The sequence below is a fragment of the Homo sapiens genome, chromosome 1 (assembly GCF_000001405.40).
Source record: "Homo sapiens chromosome 1, GRCh38.p14 Primary Assembly".
Taxonomy (NCBI): domain Eukaryota; kingdom Metazoa; phylum Chordata; class Mammalia; order Primates; family Hominidae; genus Homo; species Homo sapiens.
The window spans coordinates 86,730,115-86,742,814 of record NC_000001.11 but is presented as its reverse complement, the minus strand read 5'-3'; the positions used below and the strand labels follow the sequence as shown (position 1 = coordinate 86,742,814).

Sequence of the window (12,700 nt, the reverse complement as noted above, 5' to 3'; positions counted from 1 at the left end):
TAATTTTTCATATTTTTTGTAGAGATGAGGTGTCGCTATGTTGCCCAGGCTGGTCTTGAACTCCTGGCCTCAAGTGATCCCACTGCCTTGGCCTCCCAAAAGTGCTGAGATTACAGGTGTAAGCCACCATGTCTGGCCTAGATAAAGGATCTTATTGGAGGGAGTTTTATACATCTTCAAGTTATTTGGCAGTTAAAAGTTTTAAATATTTCTATGATATTCTATTAAAGAATATTAATTAAAATTTTATGTTAATATAACTATCTGTAATCTATGAAACCATTTCCAAATAACTAATGAGGAATTTGCATTTTGTTATAATATTAGAAGGTATGTCAATTCGTGATATATTTTCCTTCTCATACCCACAATACTCACCTCATCTGCCAGAAGTGATAATTCAGTACTGTTTGCTGCATCATAATCATAGAGAACCCTGGCCTTTCTGCTGCCACTACACTCCTTAAGGTCACTGAGGTTGGAAGGAGAGGTGATTACTAGGCCACTTGTTGAAGCCATGGCAGAAGAACCAATCGCATTTGGTAAAACTGATGGTACAGGTGTCACAGAAGTCTGATTGTTGTTACTAAGATAATTGGATGGAAAACTGTTGAAAAGAAAGCAGCGAATTATTTATTTCCAAGTGACTAAAGCTCCTTAATACCACCACTCGGTGGCGCTGTTTACTTTCTACCAACCTTCACATTGGAAAAGATTTATAGATATTAATAATACGTTAATGACAAAGTATATCTATCTTCCTTTTCCCTCTTGGGCCAATTATACTAGAGACAATTCAGGTGGTATTCAAATATAAATCCTTGAAAGTCTGTTTCAAAACTGTCCTTATAATATTAACTTAAAATTAATGGCTATACTTTTTTCCCCAAAAAACTTCCATTAGAATGTTTTCTTAATCTTTTCTTTATAAATTACTAAATAAAAATATTGATGAAAAACTACTTAAATATTAGATACTACAAGTATGAGGCTTTCTTAATTTAATTCTTTGAGAAATATTTGAATAACTAAACCTTTTTTTCATAAACTGGTCCAATCACATTTTCCTATTCAAATAAAATATTTATTGTCATTTACATGTAAGTATTATTTACTTGTATCTACATGTTCAGCATGACTATGAGAAGCAGAAGACGTAAGATGAAATGATACTATTCCCTTAAGGACATACACATAGTGAGAAGGTAGACATTCAAATAATATGACTGCTAATTATCTCAATGAAATTGAAGACTCAATGGTAGAATAGGACAAATTTTACAAGTTCATTTGTGCTATTTTTTAGAAAAATTTTCTATTAGAAATTAGTGATTTTTGTGATTAATGTGCTCATAAATAATTTGAAGATAATTAGAATTTTCAGTTTATTTTAAGGCTAGTTTCCCCAATAATACCAAATATAAAACAGTACAAAATAGCTGGTCTGACATCATTCTAATTCAACCATTTCTAAGCTAAAAAATGATCTACAAAAATTCAAAGTTTTAATAAATTCATTAAACTAGAAAAGTCCTCTTTTCTCTTCACGAGCACTATACCATCTGGAAATCATTTCAGTCATCAGCAAAATTCCCTGTATCCTTAACCTCTTCTCTAAACCTTCCCTTCATCCTCCAGTGCTAGCGTTTATCTCCCATACTCCTCTTTTATCACTGAACCTAGAGGTCAATGGAGGAGTCTTATGTTCTTCATCACTGTTTTTAGACTCTTTTCCCTAAACAATTCTAGCCAATCCTTCAACTTCATGTTATTCAACTATAGCACATCATCTTTTCCTCCCACATTATCATATTTTATCATATTACATTTTATCATATTATCTTTCCTTCCCATATTACATTTTCTCCATCTATTGTATCATTCCCAACTCTTTAAAAAAAGAGATACCCAGTATCTCTTACTGCAATCACCTACAGATGCCTCATTCCCTTACTTTCATTTCTAGAAGATTTTATCACCTGGCTCACTGACATTATCTCTTACTTAATTCTTGGTGACTTTAATATCCAAATGGACAATTCTTCCAACCCTTTAGCCTCTTAGATCCTCGAACTCTTCTCTTCTAGTGACTTCATACCTGATCCTAGTTCAGCCACCTATTCCCACAGTCACATCTAGATCTTACCAATTCCAGTAACCACAACCCTTCCAATAATAATAGTTTCTACTATCCCATTCTTTGACCATCGCCTTTTTCTTTCAAGTGCTCTCACATCAACAAGCCTACCAGGGTCTATGATCCTACCAACACCTTCTTCATGTCCATAGTTAATTATTATAATAACTCTTAGATATGCTCTCATTTCTTATGCCACTCACTTCATTGTACTGATTTGGTAAAAACCTATTTACCTATTCAGTATCCATGCATCTACTTTAACAGGAGAAACACAGAAAAGCTTTGTTTTACATTCAATTTATGACTAGGAACCTCAAGTGGGTCCACATGCCACCTGGCAATGATACTACATTTCTCTACTCCATTCACTTTCACTTTCATTCCCCTGATGACTATTTCATACCCTCTTGCCCATCCTCAAAATTTCAGCAGTTCTCCCCATAACCATTACACTCAGTTGATGAGCTTGCTTCCTTTTAACTGAGAGGAAAAAAGAACAATCAGGAACTCCTTTTTTTTTTTTTGATACAGGAGTTCATTCCTTTTGCCCAGGCTGTAGTGCAGTGGTTCAATCTTGGCTCACTGCAACCTCTGCTTCCTGGGCTTAAGCAAGCAATTCTCTCGCCTCAGCTTCCTGAGTAGCTGGGACTACAGACATGCACCTCCACACCCAGTTAATTTTTGTATTTTTTTGTAGAGACAGCGTTTCACCATATTGACCAGGCTAATCTCAAACTCCTGAGCTCAAGTGATCTGCCCACCTTGATCTCCCAAAGTGCTGGGATTACAGGCATGAGCCACTGCGCCTGGCCAGGAAACTCTTTAATGAGCTGTCTATGCTCCTGATGCTAATTCCTCCATATGTGCACAAAATCTCATCCTTTTTTGCCTCTCTAGGGTATCACTCTAGCAATTCTTCCCTTTCCCTCCCACATTATCATATTTTCTCCACCTAGTGTATCATTCCCATCAGCTTACAAACATGCCCTTATTTCTCCTATCTTAAAAAACAAGCAAAAAATTGCTAGACCCCACTTTCTCCTCCGACTACTGCCTCATTCCTCTGTTCCCCTTTACACCAAAACCCCTTGAAAGATTTACGTATTCTTACGGTCACAATTCCTCTCCTCCGAGTCTCTTATATTACAAACATTACTTTGCGCCTACTGTTTCACCAAAACTACTCGTCAAGGTTAGCAATGACTTTAATGTTCCTAAATCCAATGGTCAATTCGTAGTCCTCTCACTTGACCTAGGCAGTGACCATTCTCTCCCACTTTCACACATGTTCACTTGACTTCCAGGCCATACTCTTAGTTTCCATTTTACCTCACTGCCTCACTCGTTATCATCTTCCTTGCCTCGTTCCTCAACTCTCTATGCTAGAGTACTTCAGGGATCAGTCCTTGATCCTCTCCTTTTCTCTATACTTACTCCTTTGAGGGTTTATCTAGTCTCACAGATTTAAATATCTTTGATATGCTGACAACTCTCTAATTATCTAATTCACCCTGCCCCCAATCCAAGTCCAGACCTGCATATCCTAAAATTGGATACCTCCACTTAAATGTTTAAGAGACATCTCAAACTTAACATATTTAAAACTGGGCTTCTAATATAACTGACATACTTCCCAGACCTCCATCCCTGAAATCTTTGCCTCCTCTGGCATTCCCCATTTTAACTATCTACAACTCCCCATTCTTTCAGTTACTTAGGTCAAAAACTTGCAGATGGACGTGGTGGCTCACGCCTATAATCCCAGCACTTTGAGAGGCTGAGGCGGGCAGATAGCCTGAGGCCAGGAGTTCAAGACCAGCCTGGCTAACATGGTGAAACCCCTTTTCTACTAAAAATGCAAAAAATTAGCTGGGCATGGTGGCGCACACCTGTAATCCTAGCTACTTGGGAGGCTGAGGCAGGAGAATCTCTTGAACCCGGGAGGCAGAGGTTGCAGTGAGCCGAAGTTGCGCCATTGTACTCCACCTTGGACTGGAAGAGTGAAACTCTGTCTCTAAAACAAAACAAAACAAAACCTTGCAATAATTCTTGACCTCTTTGTGTCCAATATACATACAGTCTGTCAAGCAAATCCTTCTGGCTTTAAGTCTAAAATACACCCACAGTCACGCCTGTAATCCCAGCACTTTGGGAGGCCGAGGCGGGCAGATCACAAGGTCAGGAGATCGAGACCATCCTGGCTAACACGGTGAAACCCTGTCTCTACTAAAAATACAAAAAATTAGCTGGGTGTGGTGGTGGGTGCCTGTAGTCCCCGCTACTCGGGTGGCTGAGGCAGGAGAATGGCATAAACCCAGATGGAGGAGCTTGCAGTGAGCCGAGATTGCGCCACTGCACTCCAGCCTGGGCAACAGAGCAAGACTCTGTCTCAAAAAAACAAAACAAAACAAAACAAAACAAACAAACAAAAAACAAACAACACCCACAGGCCCACAGGACCTGACCACTTCCATCCTACCTACCACAATTACCCTGATCCAAGCCACTGCCATCTTCTGACTGAATTACTGACTACATTATTGCAATAAGTTTGAAACAGATCAGTCAGCTTCCACCCAACACCTATCCTCAACGTGGCAGCCAGAATGATTCTGTTAAAGCCTAAAATTATGTCACTCTTCAGCTCAAAATTTCCAAAGGCGCCTCATCTCTGAGTAAAGACCAAAGTCGAAGCCCTATATGTTTTGGCTCCCCGTTTCCTCTACTCGTCTCTAGCCAAGCCCTCCTTGCTGTTCCTTGACCATACCAGCTATGTCATGCCCTCAGGGTTTTTGTACTTGCTGCACCCTCTACCTGGAGCATCTTCTCTCAGATGCCTGCATGTGTGCTTTCTCACGTCTTTCTCTACTCCCATCAAAGTAGTTTCCTGCTATATTTTCCGGTACACCATTTTCACCTTCTAATATACTATATAATTTATATACATATTGCTTTTCTGCTCCCTTCTGCCCCCATATAGAATGTAGATTCCAGGAAGGCAGGAATTTTGATTATTTTATTTATATACTATATCCCCCACATCTGGAACAGTACATTTTAAAAATGAAAAGCAAATGTTTCTCTGATGGATAAAGGGTGAAATAGTTTTAAATATAGCTTTTCCTCTCTAAAATTAAGACCACCTGTCCTAGTATCCTTTCCTCAGTGAACTCGGTTCTTCAGTAGGGATTAAATACATACATTTCTGAAGATAAGAAAAAGCTCTATTTATATGAATATGTATATACACATGGCTTTTTTAGTTCTCTAACCATATTTTACTTCCAAATCTACTAGTATGATTTTAGCCTTTGATTAGCCACTGAAGTGTACCTATGTCAATTTTGCAGAGTTAAAGATTTAAAAAATGAACTGAAAGGCCATTTTTACCTTCTAAGAACTTTTATTGATACGTTAAAAAATCATAGCAATTACTCATTCTATAAAAATGTCAATTAAGCCACTGGAGCTTGAAATGCAAAAGCCTTCCAATTATTAAAAAAATTGCTAATCTTGTGACTAGTACTTCTGCTTTCTCATCTTTAAAATATGGATAATAATAGTACCTACCTCATTTGGTGGTGAGGATTATAAAGTTAATAATACACATGAGGTGTCTGGAAGAGCACCTATGCACAACTTAAGCTCAACCAAAGTGATGGCTGTTATTCAGTTACTTCTACTACCTGTTGGTACTGTTATTGCAACTATTAACAATACAATCTGGTTCTCTTCTTCATAAATAGTTTTTGAATGTGTTAGTGTGAAGCTGGATGATTTGTCAAGTTCTATATTTGAATATTTCTATGTATTATCTTAAAAAGCATAACCTGCAACAAATTAAAGAGATAAAACTTCCTCCAATGTCATTGGTCATTAGCAATAATATAATTGAGGGTGGAGAGACAAGCTAGACTTTCTTTTCTAGAATAGTAGCACTGGTTTTACTTTGTATTGCTGGAGCTTATCTCAAAGAGCAGTAATAACGCAACAACTGGATTTTGTTTAAATGGCCAAGTCCTAAGCATAGTGTGGCTTTAAGTAGAATGCGAGTATAAGCAACCCCTATGCCGCACTTCCAGAGTTTCAGGATAAAGTGGAAAAAAGTACTAAGGCTTCTTGGGCTTAAAATAGTTATAATGATGTGAAGATAAAGTGCTGTTCTGCCTTGAGATATTAACACCACTAATAAAACCTCAAATATATAGTTATGTAAATGCTCCTGTATATTCTATTAAAATAACTAATGATTAGGCTACCATTCATTTTTGAGGTTCAAAATTGGTTTCATGGACGTGCTCAATTTTATTCTAGGCCAAGTTTTGAAGTGTTAATGTGCAGAAACAAACACCAAAGTGACTTTATTTACCTTATTCCTTGAAACGATTTTTTGATATTCATCCTTCAAATGCTACATATCGCTCCCCTGCTTTAATGGTTCCTCAATATATAAATTCCAAACTCCTTACAACAACTTACTTTAAAAGCCATTCATGGTATGACCCTGCTTAACTCCTCTAGATTCATCTACCATTCCATTCTTGAACACTATGCTCCAGCCTGAATGGACTACTATCAGTTCCCCGAACTTTCCCTACTCTCTTTCTTCTGGCTTTTTTATAAACATATTCTTCCTTGCTTAGAATATTCATCCCTGTCCCTTTCTTCATCTAGATTATTCCTACCAAGATAACTTCACCTGGGAAACTCTGCTAGATGTACCTCAGTCACAGTTAGATGCCTTCACAATACCAGGCACCTTCTGCTTTTCTGCCTACCACATGGCCTGTCTACCAACGGCTTGCTTTGTATTTCTACCTAGGCTAAGTGTTGTGAGAGCAGAGACCATGTTTGCCCTAAACATTATTTTATTTTCAGTGTCACCTTATAATGTGAGCTCCATAAAGGCAAGCATCTTTGCCTGTTTTGTTTGCTGATATTACCCCACAATATGTAACAGTGCTTGGCACATGGCAGATAGTCAATAAATACGTGATGAATGAGTGATTGAGCTTTGTGTTTTACATACTGTCATTTTGCTTTGAAGTATATTAACATACTCAAAATAATCACATCGGTAGATATGAGGTCTTACGAAATATTCTAAAACTTTTTTTCAATATAGTAAACAGATGAGTAATGAATAAGTATAAATTAGTTTATCTTTAAGGGTAACTGTCAATTTAATTATATCTTCCTCAACCAATAGCAAAAAGTATTCAGTAGCAGGAGAAAAGTGAACTTGAAACACTTTTAACCTTACAGCACTGAAAAGGTATTCACTTTTTCTCATCCCTGTTAACATGCCTCTGTGCCAGAAAAGCTCAAAATATTCTGTTACCTCAGAAAACTGATAATTACTTTCCTTAAAAAAAAGAAACTATTTCTAAGAAAGCTAGTAAGAACCTTTAATTGCTCTAATCTTCATCCTTAGTATTAGTTCATAAGCAAAAATCTGAATTTCTCCTCTTTACATGTGAAAAGTAAATTATCACCTTCCCAGTTGTTTCTGGAGGTCCAACATATACTGGTAACACTGTGCATAGTAAGTCATCTGGGCTTCTACAAAGTCATTCAGACAGCGAAGGTGATGGGCCTGTGAAGGAAAATTATAGTTAGTTCTTAGCTGTATAGTCAACTTAAATGGCAAATGCAAGGGGGAGACAGACCACAATATTGTACTGAGGTAGACTCACCAGTATCTAACATTTTACTACAAGGCTTATTAAGATTGGCCTTCGTGAATAGTACACTAGCAAACTCTGCTTAGCCAATAAACAACAACATGTATATTTAATGAGGGTGGGAGAACTCGGTGATAAGATGTAAACAACAATTTAAAATATTTATTCGGATATATTGGAAAGTAGAACAATTTAAATTTCCTTGATGAATGACTGAAAAGTTCAGTTTTTCCTCCCAAAATTGCCTTAGGACTACCAAAGTCTTGTTCCAAATGAATTTCCAATGAATGAATACTCACATGTGTACTGCTGATTCCCTCTAGCAGAAGTCTGGTAATCTCTGCTTGACGATCAAATTCACTTTGAGTTATTCTTAATTCCTGTTCAGACTTAAGTAAGAATATAGTTTTAGAATCTCTTTAGAAGACTCAGTCCATCTTATATACATTTATTTTAGATGGTTAAAAAAAATCCCCCGAACAAACCTCAAGTTATAATCTGGCAATTCCGCAATTCTGCTTTGTATCTAAAATGGTCCCCTGGTTTCTAGACCTTAGCTTTTCTGTATTACTCCACCTGGACAACTGATTCCAGTACTTGATTGAAAAGAATCTGTTACGCTAAAGCTTAATGATACACTCTTAAGAGCCTACAAAAACTACTAAGAGAAAGCCAAGATATTTTCATAAATTTTCTAGTATCAATTTTGCTAAATTTTACTATTTTACAAAATTTTAAGATGACCAGTTTTACAAGTATAAAGTAATATTGCTGCAAAAATTCTCAATTATTACTACAGTTTTTACTTTGAAGTTAAAGAGTCTTCAGTCTCAAATGCAAAAGACTTTAGAGTGAAGCCATAGGATTTTCACCTTGCGTTTAGTTGCCAAACACTTGTTGCTAGCACCAGTTTTTAGGTTCATTCAAAGGATTCTTTGTCCTACATTTTAAATGTCTTTCTTTCAAATTTTCTTTTCAAACTATGCATAAAAAATGTCTTAAGCAGAATACTATCTATTAAGATACACTAGGGTTTTAAAAAGCTTTTTAAGTTATGATCGAACTTCAATCAGTAGTGTGCTGTTAAATTCTTCCCCAAGAAATAAAAAAAAAAGCTCTCATATCCAGATTTTCATGATATAAATACTCCCACCACAGCTGATTTCCAGCTACTAACGTGAAGTCACACACTGTGGAGCTGGGAAGAGATGTAAATAACAGTATGCCACTACTGGTTTCAACCATCTGATAAAGGAGGCTTACTGCTGCGACAAAACAGTTCACTGAAAAATCAACAAGATCTAAAAATAGCAAATAGTGGCAAAAAACATCTTCTCAAACCTTTAGTCAGAGTTGGTTGTTAATAAGTGGGAAAGAGAAATAAAACCTCACAGCTTACTCAGAATAGTTAGCTTTTCTCCCATTGGGAATTATCATTGGTTACATCATCATTATAATGATAGGTTTGACTACCTCTCCAGCACAAATAGCATTTTCCACCTATGCAAATGATTCATGACATTTCCAAGATGTAATAAAAGTAAAAAAAACGAAAAACAAAAAAAACCCAACAAGGTATGAACTTTTTTCTTTCAGGCCTCATCTCCCTCTCCTCATCCTTTGGTGGCAATAGTTACCCTAGTAAACCAGTCTACAAGGAAGTAGCAGCAAAGTAGATAATCAGTTGCTGTAACAGCCCACTGGCAACAAACCTAGCAGAGGGGACTAATAATTGACCTCTAGCTTGGACTTACGGAAATAAGCTTGAATTAGTAAGTCAGAAGTTGAAATTAAATTTACTTGACTAAAACCAGAACCCATGGTGTTTTGATAGCAGGGACAAAGTAAGCTTCATCTGGAAGCTGGTATGAAGTAGAAAAAAGTCCCAGAAGAAAAAAAGAAGCAATGTTCTTCCTAAGGAGAGCACTAAGGAAAACCAATCACATCAATATTACATATGCACTATTAACTGTTCTGCTTGGTTGAATACAAAAGGCTTTGAGTAACAGAAGTAAATACAGCAAACCAAAAATAAATGCACTTCAGAAATAAACTAGGTTAGTTCCATATAGGTCTTTGATTGTCAAAGTACGGTTTAATTTAATGGCCTTTAGTAGAAATGGCAGAAAAATCCTACTAACTGACATTATTTCTAGGTAAGGTAATAAGCAAGTAAACTAGGTAGCAGATTAAGGTGACCGGGAAGATTGAGACTGAAGTAGAAATAATATTTTAATGCTAAGTACACTGAATAAAAAATATCAAATGATCTCATTAAGGATGAGGGATCAGGCTTCTAGGTTTGAGTAAAATTTAATCATGAAGAAAGGCACCATGTTACAAAGCTTAGGAGGTCCTTCTGTACAATCTAGACTTTAGAGAGGGTAGATGATAGGGAAAAATGCATCTCATTTCTTGAACAAGTTTTAGTGCATATTGGGTGGCTTCAAACAGTCAAATGTCCCAAATCATCTATACTTCTGGCATATATAATTGATCATAATAACTGATCTGAGAGGCTAAAGGAATTTAAATTAGGCTTAGCATAATCAATTTACTTCGGAAGAAAATGATCCACATTAGAAAGATAGATAAGAAAGGGCTGATATTCTGTCGTCTAAAAAATCTCTAGGGAGAAGACCTTCTACTGCTAAAAGTAACTGCTACTAGACTACATGATAGCATAACATAGGTTAGGTAAGCCAGAAGAGTTTTTTCTAAAATGTAACTGGAAGATGGGCAAGAATCTGTTGGCCCACGATATCAAGATTGGGTATCTGTAAGCCCTAAATTTTGGTAATGCTTCTGAGGCATTTGCTGTGACTATCTTGATCAGTGTTGACTACTATTCATATGGCTTAAAATCTTAAAATACTCCAGGAATGTAAAGTCTTAACATTTATACATTTTCATTTATTTATTTTTTGAGATGGAGTTTTGCTCTTGTTGCCTAGCTTGGAGTGCAACGGCTGATCCTGGCTGACTGCAAACTCCACCTCCCAAATTCAAGGGATTCTCCTGCCTCAGCCTCCCAAGTAGCTGGGACACCATGCCTGGCTAATTTTGTATTTTTAGTAGAGACAGGGTTTCACCATGCTGGTCAGGCTGGTTTTGAACTCCTGACCTCAGGTGATCTGCCCACCTCGGCCTTCCAAAGTGCTGGGATTACAGGTGTGAGCCACTGCTCCTGGTCATTTATACATTTTTAATTATAAAAATGTCAGAAGTGAGATATGTAGAAGAAAAAAACCCCTGAAATCCATTTTGATAGGTTTCTTTAGATTTTTATATATATGTATATAATATGTTTCATGAGTTTCTTCCCATGTATTGTATCAATTATTTCCTAAACTTGCTGAGACTGCAAAATCAAGTCAGAAATTTTCTGGCATATCTTTATGCCAAAGAGGAAGACATTCTAGTTTTTTTGTTCAACCTGTATTCTCTTCTGTGTTGCTCTGCCCCTTTTCATGCTAGAAGTTCAGAGAGAAATCAGAAGCCAGTGTGGAACCGTAACTAAACTGATGAACAGACTCACAAAGGGGGGATAAGAGCATAAGGTAAGAATTTCATACTGGAGATCCAAGTCACAGAATCAACAGCTCTATAACCTATGCATAAAACAGACTGTAAAATCAATCCTACAAAGCCAGAAAATAAAAGTTAAAGTTTATAAAGCTATTGTCAGGGGCCAAAATCATCACCTGTCCTCAGTCCCCAGTGTTATCCTCATGTGGATGTCAGAGTTTGGTAGGCCTAAACATAAGAAGTAAATGAAAAATGCTTCTGAAGACTTAAAAAAGCATTTGAAACAAGTCTGCATGTACTATAGTTTATAATTTTATCCCTTAAATTCTTGTTTAATTACTTGCTTTCCCAGCCCACAGAAGATTAGAAATGGTAACACAGACAGAACTGCTAGCAGCAGTCATACAGACAGCTTCTAGAAGCAACAGTCTGATACTGAGGGAAGAGACAACATAGTCGAAAAACAACAAATCCAACTGTTAACAGTATGATAAATATTCATAATAATGACCTTAACTGTAGTAAAATCAAATACTTGCTATCCTATATTTAATGCAGCAGTAAAATACATTTTTACAGATATTTTCAACTAATGTGACTGGGAAAAATTAGCTTTGGTGCTGGAGAGAACAAGCTTCAGTTACCTAAAAAATTCATCTGTGGCCGGGTACGGTGGCTCACGCCTGTAATGCCAGCACTTTGGGAGGCAAAGGTGGGTTGATCACCTGAGTTCAGGAGTTCGAGACCAGCCTGGCCAACATGGTGAAAAAACTGCCGCTACTAAACATACAAAAAATTAGCCAGGCGTGGTGGCGGGCACCTGTAATCCCAGCTACTTGGGAGGCTGAGGCAGGAGAATCGGTTGAACCCAGAAGGTGGAGGTTGCAGTGAGCTGTGACTGTGCCACTGCACTCCAGCCTGGGCGACAAGAGCAAAACTCCATCTCAAAAAAAAAAAATTCATTTGTGCGAAATATTATATATCCCATTCTCTGAAGATACAGGACATGGTGTTAACTATATTTTACATTTTAAAAATTGTTATTAAAAAAATCATTAACAAGCATTTCGCCTGCCTTCTATAGTAAGGAACTGTAAGATTACCACTTAGTATAACAGGTATCCAAGATTTATCAGTGTGTGTGCAAACCACATCTCTGCAGCATTGTTCAACTGCTTGGTGGAGCTTCTATTAGCTAAAGAGACCTGAACATATCCCTCATTTTCAGATTTTATAAGGTATACTAACACAGACTGTGACTGGACCCATGGGTTGTTGCCCAATACATATTTACTGAATCAACGTCAACTAAATTCTTGTTTCATAGTTCTGTATTTAATAATTTACT

The 12,700-nt window shown here is 37.0% G+C and overlaps 1 protein-coding gene across 9 annotated transcripts in view; it reads right to left on the bottom strand.

Moving 5' to 3' along the window:
- Positions 1-12,700, bottom strand: part of SH3GLB1 (SH3 domain containing GRB2 like, endophilin B1) — a 43,609-nt gene that overhangs the window by 5,370 nt on the left and 25,539 nt on the right. For 7 of the 9 annotated variants that reach the window (XM_006710672.3, NM_001206651.2, NM_001206652.2 and 4 more), the window contains 3 exons: positions 8,124-8,213; positions 7,636-7,736; positions 379-607 (listed from right to left, as the gene is read on the bottom strand). In XM_006710672.3, the coding sequence (XP_006710735.1) occupies positions 379-607; positions 7,636-7,736; positions 8,124-8,213 (420 nt within the window). Of the gene's footprint in view, positions 1-378; positions 608-7,635; positions 7,737-8,123; positions 8,214-11,538; positions 11,581-12,700 lie in introns of those variants that run through there. The other 2 variants (XM_017001409.2, XM_017001410.3) reach the window with 1 other exon arrangement.